Below are 24,434 nucleotides of genomic sequence, written 5' to 3'. Positions count from 1 at the left end.
TTTCCTCTGGCATCTCCAAGACTTTGGTTATACCTTCCTTACGGCATACATCAGGTCATTTATAGTTTTTCTGCTTCTATTTCCTCTCCCTCATGAAATTTGAGTTCCTCATATCCTTGTTGCTTTTCCTGACCACCACCCATTTACCTTCCTCTGATGAAAGCACACTGATATTCCTGTGGGGAAACTACCTTCCACATTCTAGGTCCTGTGTTTTGGGTTGGGCCCCAGAGATGGCTCCAGAGATGGGCCTTGTTCATTGCATAGAACACATTATGAGTGTGTGTTTTCGTCCAGGTTGAATGGAAACTGAATAGCAAGTCTCCAGAGAATGATAACGTGGGACATGCTGTAATGGTTACAACCATAAATTTACTTTCATGCAAAATTTTTGACCAAACAAAAACAAACATACAAACAATAACTTAAAAAACTCTGCTCCTAGCCATATCTAAGTAGAAATGTACATGATGATGAACAAATGCTTTTGGCAGGATTATAATAACATTTTATTCTAACTTTATTTTCAAATTTGTTTCAAAATTCTGAGTTTGGTTGCCATGTTCTCAAGTAAAATCTTTTGCTTTACTATTATTATCTCTCTGGATCCAAATATAAACAATTTAGAGTGGGGGAAAAGGGGACATTTTGTGCTGAATTTCTTGGAAGCAGATGGCTGTGTATTCCCAACATTAGTGTCATTAATTTAATATTTTCCCCATCATTTAAAGATTGCCCTCAGTCTGTTGACAACTCTTTCACCATTGAATTTCTCTCCTGGGTGGCATTTAAGCTGTATTTAAAACATACATCTTGTTTACGTACACTCTTGAGCCAGAACCTTTGGTTTATAGGAAAGAATTTTGATGATCTCCTTTCCCCACTGAAAAATTACTGAAGTTATACTAATGGCTCCTATGACTGCTTATTGTTGATCTCCTCCAAAGGATTGATATCAAATGCAAAGTTTAGACTGCCTGGCTTTGCTTATGCTATAAACTGAAATATAAACCAAAGAGATTATGGAAATATTCCACATTTAGTCTATGTACTACTCATATACCTAAACATTCTCTGGTTAAAAATTAGGTGTGTAATTTTTTAGAAAAGTTTATATTTTCAGTAATATTTCATTAAACAATACAGTGTTTTATGCATATATATACACACACATATGTATATATACATATGAAATGTTTTTTAATCAAATAGTACAATTATAGTTAACAAAACTGAGCCATGAACTATTTTTGTTTAGGAAAGAATGAAAAATACTGCCCTATCAAATATTAGCCAAAACTAATGAGAAATTAATAATCTCTTTGTATTTTATGTCCTGTAAACAAAAATTATTTCCCAATGGTTTCAGTTTAATATAGCCAAATAAGGGTTTTTAATCCAAAACTGAATCTAAATTCCTGTTTGATAATTTCATTGTATTTATTATTCCTTAAAAGCACCATAAAAACTTTCTCGTAATGAAGACAACAAAGTTAGCAAGATTTGTCTTCAATAACTAAATATTTTGTGAAAAATTAATTGTATTCTGATGTAATATCTTCATTCATCTCTAATTGTTCTTATGCATTTTCAAGTCACATAGTAAGTTCAAATTAGCAAAATTAGAGAGATTAAATGTTCTGCAGTGTTTCCTAAATTTTATCTAAAGCAGTCATAATTTAACTATGAATCCATTTGGAACTCATTTCTATTTCAATTCATTAAATGGTATTTAAAATTAAAGTATAGAAATAAATGCTTATTAGGTTAAGCATTTTATTAGGTTAAACAACAAAATTGTGGTTAACACTGTCTTCTGAGTAAAGGAGAGACTCTTTTAAAATGATATCCAACAATGTGACTAACTGCCTCCCAGAAATTTAGAATTAGAAACACAAAGGTTAGATGAAGTTAAAGGTCATCCCCCTACAGGCAAAGGGGCCCAGTTCCCTACCAAGTTTCTAGCAGACCTACTTCCCTAGGGCACATCATAAAAGTAATTTACTGACAACTCACCTTACCAGGGGTCATTTGGGGCCTCAAGTCTTCTGGAATTCACTTTTAAGAAGCATGATTAAGTGGGGACAACTATTGGCCCTAAAGTATTTATGCTGAGAACAAACGTCTGTCAGAATTAAATTCTTTGTGTGTGGTGGTTTCAGACTTAAAAAGGTGTGTACCTGATGAAAAGCACATATATTCTATTCACCAAATTAAATTTCAGAATGCATATTTTTTAATTGATTTATTCGTTTTTTTTTAACTCCAGCAATCCAAATAGAGAACGCAGTCTAATAAAAAGGATAATACATTTACCAAAAGTTAGTTATATCCTTTTCAACCTTTTCTAGTCCAGTTTATTCTCACAGTGGAGGAAAAATGCATTATACTATTTTAAAAAATGAAGATGCCATTTAAACCCAGCCAAGGAAGTTGACTTAAAAAATAAATGGCAAGAAAAGCTATTTCCTGATTAAAACAAGTCTCCTGCTTTTATTTTTTGACATAAGATATTGAGTTTAACATTAAGCAGAGATGGCCTTCGCACATTTTAAAAAATTGCTAGAAGTTAAAATATGTGTTCATTGGACAAAATTAAAACATTATTTGACACTGTGTGTGGGATACAGCTCTAATCTATACAGTGTATGGAAACGAGGTTGGTACTTTCAATTGCACAGCACACATCTCAGTAATAACAGGGGATGAGGCATACAATTTCAAGGAACACCCACAATGAAAATTATTCTTTCCAAACAGAGAATTGTTTTGGAATAAGTTAGGTTAATTGGCATCATGGGAATTCTCTCAAGGAAACACAGAGCCCTGCAATCCTTACATGTGCAAGTAAGATGATCAAGCATTAACCTCTTTCCTTTTTCAATTTTTCACATCTAATTTACTCTATCCACAACCAAATTAACTTCCATAGATTCAGATGCAGGTACGAAAGGGGACAGTTCTTTGCCAGCTTAACATACAGCCTGAAAGAATGATTTGTTAGATGAGGTTATTTGCTCAAATATCTACAACAAAGAAGAAACCCATTATGGATATTTGGGATTATTCTACTTTTGAGAGTGAATTATAGGTACTTTATTAGTAAGGTCAATTATTTTACAATTTAAAAGGTTAGAAATTCCCTACAATAAGCTTTCCATATCCCCTTATTAGAGGTCTATGTTTTTATATTCCATTATCATTTTAATCCTCTCTGACTTCAGGATACCTGGATTTTGACCTTTTCTATGCTAAACCCAAGTATAGTTATCCTTTAAAAAATAATCATATTTTCCCCCCTTTCTCCCTTTAAATGTGCATTTCCTAGGAGGAACACATATGTGTGTGTGTCTCATTCAAACAGTCTTTAATTGTGGTTACCATTTTCATGAATTAGCAATTACAACTGGCGTAGAGTGAGCCCTCTTCATTACATTACCACAATTGATATTTTCCTGTAATTTACAACCTTTCACCAGAACCCATGAAATATCCTATGTTGCTAATGTACTGAGTTTCAAAATTTGCACTTTGAAACTATGAGAAAGAAGGTATAAATTTTGGAAACACCATGTGTAAAAATGCTTATGTTTAATAGGAAAAAATTTGCAATATTCTTTCAAGTATTGACCCACTGAAAGGTAGAAATGAAAGGAATCTCAGATATTAATGATCCTCTCATTTTACAGGTAAAAATTGAGGCTTTTGTGGTGAAATGACTGGCTCACAGGCACAAAGAACATTCACAGCAGAGCTGGTACTAGAAGTCAGTATTCTACCCTACATCCCTGCTTCCACCCTTGCCTCTCCAAGTCTATTCTCAGCATGGCTGCTATAGATCTTGTTTAAAAAGTTTGGGCCGGAGCCAGGCCCTGTAGCTCATGCCTGCAGTCCCAGCACTTTGGGAGGCTGAGGCGGGCGAATCACCTGAGGTCTGGAGTTCCAGCCTGGCCAATATGGTGAAACCCTGTATCTACTAAAAATACAAAAAATAGCTGGGCATGGTGGCAGGTGCCTGTAATCCCAGCTACTTGGGAGGCTGAGGCAGGAGAATCGCTTGAACCCGGGAGGCAGGGGTTGCAGTAAGCCGAGATTGTGCCACTGCACTCCAGCCTGGGTGACAAAGCAAGACTCCATCTCAAATAAATAAATAAAATAAAAATTAAAAAAATAATACAAAATTAAAAGTTTAAGTCAGATCATATCACTCCAGTTCAAAACTCTCCAGTGATTCCCCATCTCACTCATCTCACTCAGTATAGAAGCCAAAGACCTTAGCAGAGCCTGTATACTTCATGCTCCCACCAACACACAGATGCTCAACTCTGCAATCTCATCTCCTACAACTACTCTCCTCTTCCTTCACTCAGTTCCAGGCTGGGCTTCTCCCCTACCACCCCAAGTACTGTCCACTTCGAAGTCATGGTATATCTTCACCTTGACCGAGGTTTGAAAATTTGCTTCCCTGTTTCCCTGTACATTCAAGACATTATCTTGTCATTAACTGAAACCTGAAATCTCACTACATGTTGAGTTACTGCAGCTTTTTAAAGTTTAACTAGAGCAATGATGATCATACAGAAAGACGATGCACCTATTGGCCTATGAGGCAAGGTACCCACCCAAACTCTGCACTGGGAGATGCTGACTGGGTTTCTGTATTATTACAAAGGGAAAAAAATCAAAATAAAGCAAAGTATGTCCCACAGTTTCTGAACCTGGACAAGCATGGAGTCATCCAGTGCCTGATCACACTGAACCCTTATCTTTTCCATAATTCTCTTGGAGATTTGCACTACTTTCCATTCCTCAGAATTGTAGAACAAGAAAGGACCTAAGGTATTATTATTATTTGTTTTTATTTATTTATTTATTTGTGATGGAGTCTTGAAGTGTTGCCTGGGCTGGAGTGCAATGGCATGATCTCGGCTCACTGCAACCTCTGCCTCCTGGGTTCAAGTGATTCTCCTGCCTCAGCTTCCCAAGTAGCTGAGATTACAGGTGCCCATCACCACACTCAGCTAATTTTTTGTATTTTTAGTAGAGACAGGGTTTCACTATCTTGGCCAGGCTGGTCTCGAACTCCTGATCTTGTAATCCGCCTACCTCAGTCTCCCAAAGTGCTGGGATTACAGGCGTGGCTGACCCAAGGTATTATTTAGCCTAGTCCTTTGACTTCATAGATGAGGCCGTCATGATCCCCGAAGAGATGATGCCATCACTGTGTGGCAAAACTGGTATCATCATATGATCAGTGAGTGAGTGATATGGCTATGCCATGATTAGTTCTCACACATCCAACTGAGGTGGGATATTACAGGAATGCGACCCATTAGAGATCAAAGGCTCTGAAAATTGATGCTGTCACCTAAGTTTTATTTAGTAGTCTCTCCAATAACTAATTCTTCTCAAGGGAAGAAGCTCACCTAGTCATGCCCAGAAGAGTTTTCAGTTTTTGTTTGCCTGTTTGTTTGTTTGCCCAGAAGTCTTATATGTATTAACATTTAATCAAAGCCAAAATCTTAAGAAAAAAAAAAAAAACACCCTCCTTGGACGAGGAGACATTGTTTGTAGGTTGCAATTAAGGAATTTATGCAATTAAAGAGCTATGCCAACTATAGGTTAAAGCATTTTGGTGCAGCAAGCGTGATCAACCCCAGGGTGATATACATAGACACCTCGGGTGTAAATATATTATTAACTTCATGGGGTCATCTGATCTTCCAAATCCCTGGAGATTTAAACAGAAGCTTTAAAGATGATACATAGAAAAATCACAGACAGGGTAAGAGGATGAACTATGTGACTTTTTCAACCTCGGGTCACAGGCTTGAGTCCAGTCTAGGGTAGTAATTGATAACTTATGACAGATGTTTGGTGACCTGTGTGTGGAGGGACGTCGGTTCAGGTTTTGTTTCACTTTTCCTGAACATATGTGTTCACAGCCATCCACAAAGATATTTGCACTTACGGAAGCCTCATCACCACAGCTTTCCTAGAAAGCCTAAGAATTTAATGGGAATTAAATTTCGTTATTTCTATCCTCATAAGACTAGCACTTTCTTTCTTTCTTTTTTTTTTTTTTTTTTTTTTTTCAAATCTTAAGCATCTTTTCACTCACAGGCACAATCTTGTTTGTTTTTTTTTTTTTTCTTAAAGAAATTCTTCTGAACAGTTTGAAACTGTGGACTAAGGTTTCTTATGAAACAGACATGTTTCCCTATCTAGAAAAGCCTGAGGACAGATGCCATTTTATGAAAGTTTGTGGTCTGTTTGGATCAAAGTTGGGTTAGAATAAGAGGGTGGTTTAGAAACAGCTTATTAGAACTAAATAGTATGGCAAAAACCGCAATTACTTTTGCACCAAACTAAAAGTAAATAATTTAGCTTTTTTTTTTTTTTTTGACAGTCTCTTCAGTCACCCAGGCTGGAGTGCAGTGGCATGATCTCGATTCATTGCAACCTCCGTCTCCCAAATTCAAGTGATTCTACTGCCTCAACCTCCCAAGTAGCTGGGATTGCAGGCACGCACCACCATGCCTGGCTAATTTTTGTATTTTTATTAGAGACGGGGTTTCACTATGTGGGCCAGGCTGATTGAGCACTCGTTACTTCAGGTGATCCGCCGGCCTCAGCCTCCCAAAGTGCTGGGATTACAGGCGTGAGCGACTGCGGGGGACCAATTACTGCGGGGGACCAATTCAGCTTTTTTTTTTTGAGATGGAGTCTCACTGTGTCACCAGGCTGGAGTGCTGTGGTGTGATCTCGGCTCACTGAAACCTCTGCCTCCTGGGTTCAAGCGATTCTCCTGCCTCAGCCTCCCAAGTAGCTGGGACTGCAGGTGCACACCACCACACCCAGCTAATTTTTTTTTTTTTTTTAAGTAGAGACGGGGTTTTTCCATGTTTGTCAGGATAGTCTGGATCTCTTGACCTCGTGATCCGCTTGGCTTCCCAAAGTGCTGGGATTACAGATGTGAGCCACTACACCCAGCCAGTTTAGCTACTCTTAAAGAGAAAGTCACATTATTCAATATTTGCATGTTTGAAAAAACTCTTACCACAAGAATTTTTGTGGCTATATATAAAACTGTAAGATATTTTAAAATAATGCTTTATTTTTGTGTTAAGCTTCAGTTTACTGGATTTAGTTCTATAATCAGATTAAATTATTTCAACTGCTAGCAATGATGGAATTAGTTTAGATCATATTCATTGACATTCTCTTTTTTTTGTTACTCTACTACATAGAGGTATGATAGAGTAATTAGCACATATTTTATCTTAAACAAGTTGTTATTTTTAATAGATTTTCTGTAAGTTGAAGCTGAGGACTGAGGAATTGCATAATATTTTAAGTGAGTGAATAGATGAACTTTAAGGTGTATATGACATGTACAGATTGAGTAAAATGGAAATTCTTTAGATAAAGGATTCCAATTTGACCTCCCTTCTGATGATAATTCCTGAGTGCCACTGTGACCATATACATTGTCAGCTGGTATCACAGGTCATGCTGGATAGAAAGTTACGTGATTTAGAAAAAAACTTTTCTCATGATAACACGTTATAAAATGGTCTTGATAAATAGCACCTTATTTTTCAAAACATATTTGACTGAAATGTCCAAAGATAATTTTAATTTCTAGCCAATGATCTAGTTTTGAAAACACTTTTGATTATGTCCTCAGTTCTGGGCACTTTGATTTGTAATAGCTCAACATAATTACAGACTTTAAAATTAAATATCAATTGATGACTACTATCAACAAATACCTTAAAATGTAGTAATTGAAAACATATTTGTTGTACATACTTATTGCATATAAATATTATATATTATATAAAATAAATTTATGTGTATACTTATTATATAAGTGCAAAGATGAAAGAAGTCTGTTAAAAGCCTTACACTACATAGACAAACTTCCAAAGTTGGTCATAGAAAGGTAGACACAAACCAAAGAGCAAATTTGCTTACAGATTTAGACTTTATATAAAAAATTTGTCAGTGTGATAGAAAGAGGGTCTACTGTAGCCTGAGGTTTGAGAGATAGGTAGTTGGGGCTCTTTCATTTATATATTCTTTTGTTTTGTTTTGTTTTTCTTTGAGACGGACTCTTGCTCTGTCACCAGGCTGGAGTGCAGTGGCGTGATCTCGGCTCACTGCACCGTCTGCCTCCCAGGTTCAAGCGATTCTCCTACCTCAGCCTCCTGAGTAGCTGGGACTACAGGTGTGCACCCCCACACCCAGCTAATTTTTGTATTTTTAGTAAAGAAGGGGTTTCACTATATTGGCCATGATCATCTCGATCTCTTGACCTCGTGATCTGCCCGCCTAGGCCTCCCAAAGTGCTGGGATTACAGGCGTGAGCCACTAAGAGCGGCCCCACTTATGTATTCTTGCACCCGATCTTCAGCACATTTCACTGATAATGTCTACTGTCTACTGTTGCTCTTTAAAGATTTAACTTTAAAATCTTTTAAAGTTCTCTCTTCTCTGATTTCATGGCACATTTTACTGATCTGCTTTTTTTTTTTGAGATGGAATCTGACTGTCACCCGGGCTCGAGTGCAGTGGCGTGGCGCGATCTCGGCTCACTGCAACCTCCGCCTCCGGGGTTCAAGTGATTCTCCTGCCTCAGCTTCCCAAGTAGCTGGGATTATAGGCATCTGCCACCATACCCGGCTAGTTTTTATATTTTTAATAGAGACGGGGTTTCACCACGTCGGCCAGGCTGGTCTTGAATTCCTGACGTCAAATGGTCCTCCGGCTCGGCCTCCCAAAGTGCTGGGATTACAGGTGTGAGCCACTGCGCCTGGCCTGATCTGCTTTTCAAAATAATAATAATAATAATAATTTCTTGAGAAATATACTCTCTGTAACATCCATTTCATGTTAATTTTATAGCAGCTTTACCCAATTGCCCCCCTCCCAACTGACATTCTAAATCTGTGCTGTGAGCCATAGTTGCTAGTGGGCAAAAATATGTGCCTTCTTACTTTTCAGTCCCAGTATATTTCCTTTGCAAATCCTACAATTTATTAACTCTGTGGTAGATTGACAGAAACCATGTTCCAAAATAAACACAAAAAAGACCGACATTACTATAATATCCAGGTTGAGAAAAACTACTATGAAAGCAAGGAAATGCTGCTGAAAGGTTGCTGTAGTTCTTATGGGTCAGCTGCTTTGTGCTTAGTCATCGTTAGTCCTGTGCTTTGAGAAACTCCAGAGCTGGGGACTTTGCAGTGAGGTGGGCAGCAATACCCTATAATTAATGTCCAAAGTTGATGCTGTCAAAAGGTGTTGTTTTTCTCTAGTAACACATTTAAATAGAAAACATATCCTAGGTTTATCTTTCTGAGGTAAAGAAAGCCAGTCCACATGCGTCAATAACTTTGTTTCCAAGGGACTGCCGTATTATTTTGGTGCGAATGCTAACACTATCATGAGTTTCCCGTAAGTTATACAGATACATTTTGTTCTATTTATTATTTATTATTTTTTTGAGATGAGGTCTGACTCTGTCACTGAGGCTGGAGTGTGGTGGCAAAATCATAGCTCACTGCAACCTTGAACTCCTGGGCTCAAGGGATCCTCTCGCTGAGCCTCTTGAGTAGCTGAGACTATAGGTGCATGCCATCACACCTGGCTAATGTTTAAATTTTTGGTAGAAGATGGGGTGTCGCTATGTTGATAAAGCTGGTCTTGAACTCCTGGCCTCAAGTGATTTTCCTGCTTCAGCCTCCCAAAATGCTGGGATTGGAAGTGAGCCACCAAAATTCATTTTATGAGGGACTGTTTCAACCCCAGGGTGTATTGCTAGCAGTGGTCACTGGAGCTTGTGAGTCATGCATATTTTCCTTCTTCCCCTCCTTTTTATGTTAGTATGTTAGATGATGGTTAACAGCTTACAAAGCACTTCACATTTATGTGTGATTGTGCATGCAAAATATTAGGTGTGACCTTTTATTGTCTCTATTTAACAGATAAAGAAAGTGAGCCTAGAGAGGTTAAACAACTTGCCCAAGGCCAAACAACCAGTAAGACTTGGTAGGAACAGTGGTCAGAACCCAGGTGTCTATCCATGACTCTAGATGCTGGGCTCTCAGCCTCCTCACTGAGCATGCTGACACCAACCATCACCAGTCTTGTTTTCTTAACATGCTCTGCAGTCTCTCCTCTCATGCAGTGCCACTCATTAGAGGCATATAGCAGCATTTAGCAGCTTAGCACCCTGGTTGAGAGCACAGTGTCAGACAAACTGCATTTGAAATCTGTCTGTGGTACTTGCTAGCTGTGGTATCGGGGCAGTTTCCTTAACATGTGGGCCTCAGTCCCTTCATCTGTGAAAAGGGATATTAACACCTACCTGACAGGGATTCCAGAAGTAATCAATGAAATGACTATGAAAGTAAGGACTTAAAAAGTGGTGGTTATGATTAATAAGAAAGAAGAAGAGAGTGTCTGCTAACAACATGGCTTGCTTGAAGACTGTAGTATTAAACTTTATTGTATACTTGAAATTTGCTAAGAGAATAGATTTCTTAAGTGTTCTCATCACACACACACACACACACACACACACACACACACACACACACACACGACTGTAGTATCAGGAAACAATCTTCAAAAGGGAATTCTGTACCAAAGGGAATTCTCTGCCATTTAGAGATAGTTTTGTGATGTTTGATATTTTCTTTTTATGAGGTAATACAGCCACTGGAAAACAATGATAACTTATATCATCAGTAGATTTTCTTATTTTTTCTAGTCAGAGACAGTCTGTAGAAGATGGTAGATATCTCACTTAAAGAGATGCCCTTTAAAGACGGCAGACGTTTTCTAGGGTCCAGATTTCCCGGTTTTTCACTTGTTTTAAGTGATTACCATGAGATTGCTCAGATTTATAGCTTCTATTTCCTTTGCCCTTCAAATCTTAGGTAAATATAAAGATATTAATGTAAAAACTTTCCTCACCTCTGCTGTGACTGATGGGACCTAAAATTTAGGAGAAGGCAGGGCTTTCTCTACTCAACTGGAGAAACATGGCATCTGTCACTCCAGTTTCTGCTTCAGTAAAAAATAGGGTGGAAAATAAACTACAGATTAAACTGCCTTAAACTGGCATAACCACATAAATGCACACTTATACTTATTGAAAGGTTTTATCAATAGAATAGCAAATTCAAAAATAATGAAAGAATACCAGGAGCAAAAACTAACTCAACCAAATGAAAAATTACACTGAGGTTATTTCACATTATTAAGGGACTTTTGGCTTTATGAAAAATAATTTTTCTTTGTGGGCATTTATACATTTAAAATGAGATTAAACTTACATGAAAATTGAAAATGACATTTTTCACAGAGTACAGAGCATTGTGATATAAAGGATCAGCAACACTCAATAAAATAAAAATAGTTGGATTAAAAGCCATGCCATTACTACATTGATATTAGAAATAACTGCAGTCGAAAACTTTACTTATAAGAGGCCAAGTGTGGTGGAATCCTAGCACTTTGGGAGGCTGAGGCAGGTGCATTGCTTGAGTCCAGGAGTTTGAGAACAGCCTGGGCAACATGAGGAAACCCTGTCTCTACTAAAACTACAAAAATTAGCCAGGCATTGTGGCACATGCCTGTAATCCCAGCTACTCAGAAGGCTGAGGCAGGAGAATCTCTTGAACCCAGGAGGTTACAGTGAGCTGAGATCGCACCACTGCACTCGGCAGCCTGGGCAACAGAGCAAGACTCTGTCTCAAAAAATGAACAAACACACACAAAAAAATAAAAACATCTTTATTTGCAATCTGCATTTTGTTTATATTTTTACATAACATAAACGGTTTGTAACCAGAATTTTAAACTATAAAGAAGTTGCTTAAAAATTTTTATTTTGGGGAAGACAATTTCTACCACTTTTTAATGAGTTTATTTATTGTTTATTTCCACCACTATAACAACTCTCTTTTAGATGAGGCATTATGACTTCTGAGCAGTAATCTGATAAGTCAAAAAGTAAAAATGCCATTCAGTATACAAAAATGTGCCACAATGGTGATTCTTCTATTGTAATATTTAACAAATATAATCTGTTGCTTTCTTTCTATTAACACAGGCTTTATTCTAACCTAATGTGTGCTTAAAAGCAGAGTTCTCAGCAGTTTTTCTGGGGAAGCATTTGTTACATGATCTAGTAATCACCATATGTGTATGTGTGTATAATGTGTATGCATGCTATGTTACCAATACTACTTTTGAAAAATAAATTGCTTCTCAATCTGCTTTGATTCATTTCACTCAAGCAAAAATACACTAACGCTTCATGGGTTGCCTTAAGATTGCAAGTCAAAGAAAAAAATGTAAAAAGGTTTGACAAAGTTCAGAGAAATGGAACATCAGCCTCCATGGTTGATGAGGACTTAGATTTCACAAATTTTTGATACTCATAATTATGTTTGTGATTTACAAGCCTGTGAAACCAGAGGCTTCCCCATCAGGGCTTGCCCTGGTGGACCCTGCATCCTCCTCCACATGCTGCTGTGACTTCCGGCACAGGGACTGCTGTCTCTCAAGAGCTCCACCTCAATTGGCTCAGTCACCCGGACAATTAGCAGCTTTCAGCCTCACGTCCTCTCCTCCCCTGGTTAAAGGACTGCTTCTAAAAGCATCTTTTGAAATGAGGGTCCAAGTAGATAGAGAGGGACAGGAGTCCAGTGACACTTGTTCCAATGATAGACAAGGCTTTCAGCTGTGTCTGCTGTGTGCTGCTAGCCGAGGGCTGCTGAGGGTGTGAACCTCTTCATCCTCTGACCACTCGCAAGAACTAAGTGGCGGAGAATGGTGTTTGCTAGTTTCCTTGAGGGGCCACCCTGCCAAGTGACAGGTGCGGGCATATCCTTCCTTTAACACACATGCAAAGCTAAGGCTGACTTTCACATTCTTGGCAGTCAGGGGCATTTTGGTGAAATTACACTAGAGTATCTTCTGGTGGCCTTGTTGCTTTTAACAAGGTTTTATATATATAATCACAATCCACATATTTTAAGAACAGGAACAATAGCAATTTTGCCAACTAGCTGAGCACCAGATTCCAAAATGGAACAAAAACAGAAAAAGATTAACTGGTAAAGCCATTTCCCAGTTAGAATTAACTTGAGATTTTTAAATACCATTTTTTTCAAATGGTATTTCATATGCTTTATATCAAGCATCTTACATGCTGCCAGAATTAACCCAATTCCTCACTCAAGTTGGATAAGTAATATATATAAACTAAGTAAATTAGAAAAGGTACAGGGCAAATGACAACTGGTATCCAACCACCTGCTCTTAGTTGTTAAGTCAGGAATAGGACTTGGGTGTAGGCTTGGCAGAGAAAATATGTCTCATTCAATGTGTAAGTGATCCAGAAGTTTGGCTCAGGCTACATCAGTGGTTTTCAAATTGGCTACACATTGGAATTACCTGGGAAAGCTTTAAAAACATATTGATGCCTGGGTGCCAACCCCAGATATTCTGACTGACTGTTTTGGGGTATAAGAAGTTTTTTTTTTTGAAATGGAGTCTCGCTCTGTTGCCTAGGCTAGAGTGCAGAGGCATGATCTTGGCTCACTGCAACCTCCGCCTCCCAGGTTCAGTTCAAGTGATTCTCTTGCCTCAGCCTTCTGAGTAGCTGGGACTACAGGTGCATGCCACCATGCCCGGCTAATTTTTTTTGTAATTTTATTAGAGACATGGTTTCAACATATTGGCCAGGTTGGTCTGGAACTTCTGACTTCAAGTAATCCTCCTGACTTGGCCTCCCAAAGTGTTGGAATTACAGGCATGAGACACCACACCCAACTTGGCTATAAGAATTTTTGAAAGCTCCTGGGTGATTATACTGTGAAGCCATTCTTCACAGTATCATTAGAGGCATTAGTCTATCATTGCCAAGGACTTTAGATAGACAAAGCTGGTTCTAGCACTTGCCAGAAGCTCTGATTTCAGAGCTCAGATATAAGCTCAATTTAAAGATTTCAAATCACCCAGTATCTCAAAGAAGTGTTTCTTTCTGGAGATAGTAAAATTTTTGTAATTTTTGCCCTTTGGAATAAAATGATAACAACAGAACAATAACAACGCTGCATGTGCACATGCACACACACAGCCACACACACAATGAAAGTTTTAAAGTTTGCTCATCAGTTTGACATGTGGCCCATTCTTCACAGTGCCAGTAATAGTGATTAGCTTGTAGAGTACACTATCATCAAAGAGCTATCAAATCACTACATATTTTAAAAACATATTCCTGACTTACTCTTTAATCTCAATGCCACAACTTTTTTTTCTATAGCAAAAAGAAGTTAATTCTTTAGCTTGTGCTTTGCATTTTTTGCAGATTAACTTTTTCTCTGGGAACTGCAGACAGTTTAGCCCCCAGGGTACTACAATCTCCTACAATTTAGGCAGCACGATCTTGGTGTGTAAAAATAAGACATCATCTTTTTAGCTTCAGTTAGGACCCATTTAGGAAGAGTTGTCCAAGTTCCCTTATGATTGGCTCTTGGCTGATGGCATCCCTCTCAAGCACTTATAAGAATCAGAGTTGGTAGAGGTTTAAAGAGATAAGCAAGTCCAACTCTTGGCCTTAAAAAAGGTCAGCCTTTACCATGTGACAGAAATCACTCCCAATTAATTTACATTAGCAGACAAGGAATTCCAGATTTTTTAAAAATAGCCAGCAATAGATTTTAGAAACTCTTATAATCAGAAATTCCTCCTTATGTCTGACTTAACATATTCCTCTTAGTCATCAATTAATGTAATTGTGAAGGGGTTCTGCAATGTGGTTTGTATTATTCTCAATTTCAAACGTGTGGAGGTTGGGTTTAGTATGTATTACCAATTCTGTGATTTGAGTATTGCAACTAATACTTTAGTCTGTTAAACAGCTTTATGCCCTCTCTTAGGATTTTAAAACTGAAAAAATAGAATAGTTGATATGTATAATAATTTATGAAAATTCGTATTGGCATTACTTATGCAAAATGATTATTGACAAACACAGAATACTGTCATAAATATATGATAACTTTCATATATTAAAGAAGCCAGAAATAGCTGTGAAAATGCTTTTACATTACAAGTCTCTGAGGGGCAACCACCAAAATCAGTGCTATGATCAACTCATAAATATGGTGGTATCTGCCCCATCATACTGACAGTGGCCTTAACTCTTCCAATCGGGAAGTTCCACAGACACTGAGATAAAGGCCATGTGCAGCATGACCTGCTTGAAGTAAGAAGGATGTGATCTTATTACTCACTATACACTCTGATATCCGTGTGATATATTCCTATCTCGTGGACATAATTAGCGCTAAAACATCAAAGGAATTTAAAATATTGCATCTTAAAATATGTCATATAAGTTCACCAGAATAACAGGTTTTGAAGTATATTTTAGGCCCCAGAAACCTGGGAGCTCTTCTGGAAAAGGAGGTCCAAATTCTGCAAGTTTTCTTGTAAATTTGGCCAAGTACTGCAGAATTCCTGGAAGACTGCAGAATACACATACTCAGAACCAAGGTACTGTTATATCCTTGCTTGTACAATTTTATTACATAATGAAACATCTCCATGTCAGAGCTGAATATGGCAATGAATCATCAGAGAGCCCTACGAAGGGTGTAAATTGAAATAGGGATGCTGAAGGAACCCTGATTTAAAAGGCAGTCAAATTGAGGTAGAAACAAGAACATCAGTTCTTGTTATAAAAAATTTTCCAGTATTCTGAGCCCTCCTTACATCTATATTACATCATACATATCTTTTTAATACCAACATTTTTACTCAAAGCACATTTGAAAACTATTGTTAATATTAATATCAGTTCTCTCAAATAATTAGTATTATTCTCAAATATCTGAAAATATTTTTAAAGCAAATTGGCAATATGTATTATGGTTATAATCTTCAACTCAGTAATGCCCTTTTTGTGAATGAATATTAAGGAAGTCATCCATGACCAGATTAAGTAAAATGTACATGAATAATAAATAACATTATTTACAATGGTAAAAAATAAAGACTGGAGTCATCTTAACTCTCACACGATAAGAAAATGAAATAGATAGCAGGAATATATCTATATTTTTCCTGACTTGTTTCTTCTGATTTGGGTCTTCTTACCACTGGAGTACAGCACAACAAAGCAAGAAAGAGTTCATTTCTATGTGAGTAGAAGACTATAAATCCTCCTTCAGGTTTTTTTTTTTCAGTTAAGAAATGAAAAGGATAACCAGTTCTTCCCAAATCATATTGTTACTTTGTTTCATTCTAAAATAGGCATGAGCTATTAAATGTGTCTTAATTTTAGAACGTCATAATTTGCTTTATGGTTTAGTACTGCTAATGTTATACTGTGTCACTCTTGTGAAACAAACTTGACAATAATTTTGTTTACATACCTAGGTTATTTAAAATGAGAATTCAAATTAGAGAAGTGAAAAAGAGGGCAATATATGTTTTATAGGTGGCTAATTATAGAAATATTTGACTTACCTGTAAAAACATTGTACAAGGAAGTTGTAGTATAAGTAGTATTTTTTATGAGACAGACTCAAAAACAGAGATGGTGAAAGAATGATTTGCAATTGCCAAAATAACCAAAAGACCTCTTTGTTTCTACTAGCAAATGCTGATGTACAGTCCTGTGTTATGCCCATTAAACAATATTTAAACAATACTTTATAAAGCCAAAGATTCCTTTAAATGTGTCAATTACATGGGGAAAGCATGTCAAATATCAATTCGATTGCAGCGCACAATAGTCAACAAATAACAGAAATTTAATGTCACTGTCCTAATTCAGGTGCCATAATTATTGTTTCTTATGTTGCCCCCTTATTTTCTCCTGCAAGATTCTTTCTTTTATTACAAAGAAATACCTTCAGTGAGGAAGGTAACACTAAAATAAAATTAACGTAGCCAGCACAAAAATAAATAAAATTTAAAAAGCCAACCTTTATTCCACTTTGAACAAGTTTGTGAATGTCCAAATAAGGCTCCTTGAAAATTTCTCCTTCAGGGGTAAGTATCTTCACATAACCTTCTTTTTCCAGAATGAAGAGACGTTGCGAGCCATCCCCACTATGCAGGGCACCAACGGGCTGCCGCAGCCCACTCACAACCTCCTGAATACAGAAGCAGTTGTGTTTGTGCTTTCTAAACAAATTAAAGAAAACCGGTAAGCTTTTCTTGAGATGAAGGAGATAAGGGATGCACTTGGCATCCTTTTCAAACTCTATTTCCTCTAGGAATCATGGTTTTGAGAACCATGAAGTGCTTGCTAACCCAAGGGTCACAATATAATTCTTTTAAGTGGTTCTTTTAAATTCTTTCAATGGCAAAAAACAAAACAGCCTTCTTTCAGAAAGTAAAATAAGAGAATCAAAACATGTATATATTTTCAAATGTCATAATCTCATTTTCTCATATTTCAGCGACTATAATTAAAATTAGTTTTACTCACAATAAATAAACCTTATGGAAGGCATGTAGAGAGAAAGTTCTAAGATCTATTTAGAAAAACCTGATTTGCTAATGGTAATTGTGCTGAACATTTTCACAGTGCCATAGACTAACAACAATCATAAAATTCAGGCTTAAAACTATACCCATAAAATTGACATGAGTCATAGAGAAGCCAAGCTCATAATATACGATTAGTAGTCTAAGTATTAAAAGCATTTAAGCTAGAATTTTAGAGAAACAAACTACCACAGAGAAAAAACTAAAGCATCTGGAGGATATAGCTGCTGAACATAAGCACAGACAGTTGATTCACTGTCAAAACCACAAGATTTGTCAGTTGGGTTTTTTTAAAAAGATTAAAGAGCATTTATCTTTATGAACCTGCTGATCTCTTCCACTTTGTCATATTCTTCCATCTGGTCCAAGTAGTTAGATGCTGGTCCTCTGACTTGTTTTCTTGGAAAATCTGGAAAGCACAACCCACCATCTTTTCTTGCATAGTAAAAGCAAAACTCATCCGCAGTTGTTTGAAGGAAACCTTTAAAAAATATAAAAAGACTCATTAGAAGCACCTAATGTCATAGTAAAACCACCTTATTTGAAAGATATAAGATGAGGAAAAGAATTTTGGGAAACTAGGTGGATATTTTAGGAAGAACCTAGACTGAAATAAAAACAGTCCTGTAATCCCACCACTTTGTGAGGCTGAGGTGGGTGGATCACCTGAGGTCAGGAGTTTGAGACCAACCTGGTCAACATGGCGAAACCCCGTCTCTACTAAAAATATAAAAATTAGCAGGGCATGGTGGCATGCGCCTATAATCCTAGCTATTCGGGAGGCTGAGGCAGGAGAATCACTTGAACCGGGAGGTGGAGGTTGGAGCGAACCAAGAACACACCACTGCACTCTAGCCTGAGCCACAGAGCGAGACACCTTCTGAAAAAATAAATAAATAAATAAATAAATAAATAAATACTAAATAAAAAGAATGAAAAATATCGGGGGTTGGGATTCCCATTTGTGTTTTAAACTAAATTTAAAAATTGTGGTAAAAGTGAAATAATATTGTGTTGAGTATTAAAAGGCTCCCATGAAGTACAAATAAGACAAACTCAGCATTTATCTTGCTATTGCATTGATGTCTTTTCAAGATTCTCTAGTTACTGTATGTTGTACCTGTGAGCATATCTCATCAGTATTTAGCATTTTTTCCTACAATACTAAATAACTTCCTCAGATGAACAAACAAGAATCAAGAAGGAGACAGGCCATCAGGTGCCAGTTTTGGTCATTTTACAAGTCTTAGTGTATTGCCACTTACATAAGATTAAATAATAAATCTAATGAATAACACAAGGTCATTATATGCTATAATAAACAACTGACTCACTGTGTAATGATCAAGCAATGAATTGGTGCTTATAACAGAGCCTCCATTTTCAAATATATAAGTGCCTTTTTCCTGCACCTCACTTATAGGAGATAATGATTAATGTGTAATAGAAAAATTATATTTAAAATATTCCTTCAATCGTCTCAAACAGAAAAGCTGACATATCAACAAGCCAAAACAAAAACACAACGGAGTTACTTAATAGGATCTAAAAGTAAGATGTGTTTTCTTTTCTTACACATTAAATATTTTATCATATAAAGACAGCTATCTTTGAATATGAAAGGAAATAACTTTATGGCAAAAAAGTTTTGATATTACTTTTACAATTTGAGTTAATAAGGTATTACCTTTCTGGGACATATTAGCAAGACTCACTTCCACATTCTAATGATTTCTGCTCTCAAAATATGACGGTATTACCAGAGTCAGTCTTATATATGGTCCTAAATTGCTGCTTCTGGTCTTATACTTTATATTATATATCTAAAGTTTTTATTTTTATATAACAAATTATATTTTCACACCTCATCAATTTTGTGATAAACATACTGAGTAGCTCAGTAGAAATTTAGAAGTTGTATAACAAATTCAGATTTAGCAAGGATTTCTAAGAACAAGAATTTGGGATCAGCCAAGTGAGACTCATCAATGGCGCATAAAAGACACTACAAGTTTACTTTCTGTGTGCTTGACCTAGGATCCCTCAAACCTAAAACTTATCTTAGAATGTGAAGGTCCCAAATGGTTGTAAAGCTTGAAGTACATTTTGACCTAACTTTTGAGTGAAATGTCTCACCCTGAACTTTCTGAGAGAGACTCTTCCCTGCCAATTTCTGACTAGGCTATTGGAAAGGATCTTGTCTTGGCAACCAGGCAAGTAAGAGCAGATGTCCTTGGGAGTGTGTGTGTATGTGTGTGTACATGCATGCGGTGGGGGGCACAGAGAAAAAGAGGCAAGCAGCTGGGAAGTGCTCCACGGGAGGGGCAAGGCAATTGGAAAGTTATTTTTCTTTGAAAAAAAATTCAAGGATTAGAAGCACTTTTCCCTCCCTTCTTAAATGGGTAAGCATTCACATGAAAACTGCCTAATAGTGTTAAACAAGTCTCTTAGAGGTAAAAAGAAAAAAAAAACTAAATTGTTAAATCAAACTCTTTGCACAGTTTTGGGCTAGATCTTGTTTTGGAAATATTTACCATCAGGCAACAAAATCTCCATGCCTATATTATGCATGCAGGAAGACTGTCATACTATGGTCATATTTATAACTGGATATGTGAGTGAGAAATATAGTTTTAAGGTGATGTTTGCCAGAAGGGTTACAGAAAAATTTCAAAATGCAATTCAAAAGAAATTTCAAGCTTGCTTAAAAAAAATGTGTGTTTCAGCATTACTGTCTACTAACCAATACCATCTTAAGGTGAAATTAATAAACAATGCTGGTGGTCAATTCCAATTTAAAGGGAATTAGTAACTGGGACAAATACGAGGAAATGAGAAGTCATTTTCAAACGGAATATCTAAAGATTAATGAATATATATTCATAAACTTGGTGGCTCCAGAGGTACAATGCCTGCTTAGCAAATTAAGAAAAAATACAGAATGTTAACAATAAATTTACTCCAAGCTTCTTATGTAATTTAGACAAACTGAATAACCTAAGTGTGAAAACCAACTCAGAAGATTTTTACTTAAATACATGGGCTTTTTTTCTTTACAATCATGTAATTTTATTTGAATTTAAGTATCTAACACTTTTATTAATACTTTACCTTAAATGACCCGATTCTGCAGTGAACAATGATGAATAGGGAGATATATTTTAACATTTATTGCCAGGGCTCCCTTTTGTTTGTCATTTTACTGAAAGTGCATGTTTAGCTCACTCGGGATCATCATAATATGGTCAGGTCTACTAATAATGAACAAACACCAAATATTCTAGCAGCTGTATTTTTTTTAAGTTCTGATCATTTATCAACTATCTTGGATCTGTAAATATTCTGCTGGATCATGAGCCTGGTTCTGCTATACCACAAAGCACCCTATAAATACTGACGTATAAAATAAATGCTTCCTTGGAGTATTCTGAGTTCTCCCTTTTCTCTCAGCATGTATTCCAGGGAAAAGTTATTTTTCCTCATTATAAGTGCTGCTCATCATGATAAGGAAAAAAAAGTTACTGACTCTTCATGAGTAAGACTTACTCATGAACATATTCTGATAGAAGTGGTGGATTTTGATATATCCATCTGTTTATTCCTTCTGGTTTACTCTCCTTGGGACTAAGAAGACACATGTGTAAGCTAACTGGCCGGGGTTAGGAATGGCTATGGACTAGAAAATTCAGTTGAATCAAACCCTTGACCTTGGCCTTCTTAGCAATAGGATTATACCAATTGAACTAATTGTGTGCAGACATTTCACACTACAATAACCTACTGCTGAGAAGATGAGGTCGAAGAGTGATAAACATCATTATGACTACAGGTACAGAGGAAGAAGCAAGGCCAATAGACGTCCATCGATATGCTTCCCATAGAGTGTGTTATGCCTTCTTTTAGTGACTAGCAAAGTAGGTACCCTGCTCAGTTAAGCAGAAGAAAAGTCCTGCAGAAACAAGTGGAGAGTTTTTGGCATTTTTAGAAGTTTTGAGAATTTACTTCCCTAAGTGAATTCACAACTGGAAAATATTATGATTAATAAAACTCTAGTATATACTCACTATATTGCTTTGTAATATCTTTTCCCATTTTTGGGAAAATAAGCAGACTATGACTATTTCTTAATTAAGCTTTCTAGGAAGTAGCTATCTTATAGGTATATGAATATTCTAAAGTGACTGTGCTTTCTTAAAGCCATGAAGTCAAAGCAAATGGTTAAGTCATTTATATGTACATTTCTTCATGCATTGGGCAATAGGGAACAAATGAAGATGTCTCTGGAATCATTTCTCTCTCCCAATTCTTCCAGCATTTGGCTTCTTTTAGCAAAATACATCCCTCGGGGTACCTTCCTCTTCAAGTTTTTGATTTGTAGAAAGATGAAGCTATTAATGAGGATAGTCAAAATATGTTGATTAGTTTCTTCTAAAAAAGAATCACAAAGTAGCTGTTCCAACACTTTGAACTTCAGAGGAAAGTGAACCATATCATTAAATCAACTTAAGGGAAAACTATTAAAATTTGCTTTTATAGTAATTTCCAAAAAATCTGTGTTCCACAATTGTAAAGACACTTCTGTGCTGGGGGCAGGGGCAGGGAAGGGTGGGGATTAGCATCTTATTTATTGTACTTTAGGAAATGGTAACCTACATGCCAAGGATCAATCCAGGCAACAAATCGATTAGCATAAGTAATGCAAAGACTGTGTTATTACAGCTCACTTTTGGGGCAAGTATTGAGAATGATCATTAGCATTTGAGGTACGCAGGGGCAGCCCCCTCTGCTTGTCAGTAAAGCCTTCCAGAGTCTCTGGAAAGCACTGTTGCTGCTCTGTCCACTTCTAGAGTGGAGCTTTCATCTGGTTATCTTTCAAAGCAGCCTGGGTGGCCACCAAAAGCACTTGACATCTTGATGCACTTCAGCAGTTTTACATATATACAAACTTTGTAGAAAAATAAATTTGTCATTCGTCACCACATATGTTGATCTGGGGAGCGAGGTGCTTGCAGTTCTGGCTCTGAGCTGTTTGCTGTGCTCTCTCTTTCAGTGGATATTACTTTTATTTTATTGTTTTTGGAAGCTAAAATTACTTCAAATATATAAAGACCCCCACAGTTAAGTCCCCAAATCTAGCATGTTGTAGTTATCTAAAGTAGATAATGGTAAATAAAAATGCTAAGTGTTGATATCACTTTCAATTTATAGTCCTAAAGGCAAATGTTCAAGACTTGAAGTTTCCAGCAAACATTTATGGTATCTAATCTGTTATCACTTCTTTGTAGGCCATCTAGGCAACCGTGACCTATTCTACTTTGCTTTGGGGAATGTGATAAAGAGGAAGAAACAGCTGCTTGAGAAAAGGCTTAGAAACATGGCTGTGGTTTATGAAGACAATAATAATATTTTCATATTGAATGGGTTTAGATATATGTTATGCTAGATGCAAAGGAGCAAGCAACCCTAGTCAAAATGTTCTATAAGGTTATTAAGAGAGCTATATTAAAAATACAAAAGTCTACACTTTCCTGGGTCAGAGAAAAAAGTAAAATGTACATAGCACTTAAAAAAATTCTCTTGGTGCATTCTACGGTTCTTAAAGCTTGTTTTTTCCTTAAATACTGCTTAATCTTCAGTAGATTTGTGTGCGACTTTGCCCAACTAAACAGAATGTCTTGTTAAATTATTTTCTTCCTCTATGTTGAGTCTTCCAACTAAAGCAACAGCAACCAAAATTTACAAATTTTTGATGATAAAAATTAATCAATGAATATATAAGCTTATTGGAGTCCAAACTACAATAGTGACTAGGCATGTTCATGACACTATATGCATAAGAAATTCCATATCTCTCCTATCACCTTCTCATTGTATAACTTTGATTAAGGTGTTTGACTTCTCCCAAGGCTCAGATTTCCTCATCTGCCAATTGGAGAGGACTCCACTCTTCCTACCTAGCTTACAGGGTTTTTGAGGAGAAAATTAGTCATTTTATGTGAAAGTGCTTTGTAAGATATTACTTTTTGGATTCCTAATCATATTTTGTTTAAGGATCTATCTTACAAGTCAGTGGACTTTCTCCAATATATATATGTATCAGCTATGTAGAAGAAGACACTGCCTTGATATTGAAGCTGATGTTATGGTAAAGAAGGCACCAACGAGGAGTTTGGATTGAGAATCCAACGTGTGTAAAGATTACCACCTGTAATCTGTTAAGCTGTTATTACCAGCTTAACAAGAAATATATAACAAGTCAACAAAACCAATTATAATGTTTGCAGACTGAAATTACAATATTCCCTTTAGAGGCAGTAAAAGTTATAAATTTGGAAATGTTAATTATGAGGTAAAATAGGTATTTTTAAAGGCAAGATAAATTTTACAAGTTTTGTAAATAAGCATTTAAGTACAAGTATCTTACAAGGATATTGTGCAGTGGTTTATTTTACTTATGCATTTTTTTTTCTTACCTGGAATATGGCCTCGGCAAGTGTAAAAGAATTCTTTGCAATAGTCTTTGCAGAGCAGAGGAAGTACTAGGTCTCTTTCCAAGACTTCTCTCTCAGGTGAGTGGAACAGGCTTTGAGAATGTGGAGAGCAAAGTGCACATTTGATTTCCTCCAGTAACTTCCCACATTCTGTGTTGTTGGTAACAGAAAATATCTGAAAGCCATAAATCAGAAGCAAACTTTTTTTAGTAGGTAAATTTAGGTTTAGCTATTATTATTATTTTTTGCAATTGTGTAAGTAGAAAAGTCTAATTTAGCCAATGAAGTTTTTTGAAAAGAATTACTGTGTCACAATACAGAATGCCTTTATAAGGATACAAGTATAGTCTCTGG

At 36.5% G+C, this 24,434-nt stretch overlaps 1 protein-coding gene across 3 annotated transcripts in view; it reads right to left on the bottom strand.

Moving 5' to 3' along the window:
* The window catches only part of HHIP (hedgehog interacting protein), a 99,116-nt gene that overhangs the window by 68,412 nt on the left and 6,270 nt on the right, over positions 1-24,434 (bottom strand). For all 3 annotated transcript variants that reach the window (NM_022475.3, XM_005263178.6, XM_006714288.5), the window contains exons 2-4: positions 24,063-24,255; positions 17,914-18,070; positions 17,022-17,223 (exon numbers count right to left, since the gene is read on the bottom strand). In NM_022475.3, coding sequence (NP_071920.1) covers positions 17,022-17,223; positions 17,914-18,070; positions 24,063-24,255 — 552 coding nt within the window. The remainder of the gene's footprint in view (positions 1-17,021; positions 17,224-17,913; positions 18,071-24,062; positions 24,256-24,434) is intronic.

This window comes from Homo sapiens, chromosome 4 (genome assembly GCF_000001405.40).
Source record: "Homo sapiens chromosome 4, GRCh38.p14 Primary Assembly".
Classification (NCBI taxonomy): domain Eukaryota; kingdom Metazoa; phylum Chordata; class Mammalia; order Primates; family Hominidae; genus Homo; species Homo sapiens.
The sequence above is the reverse complement of the archived record's forward strand: the minus strand, read 5'-3'. Positions and strand labels throughout refer to the sequence as shown.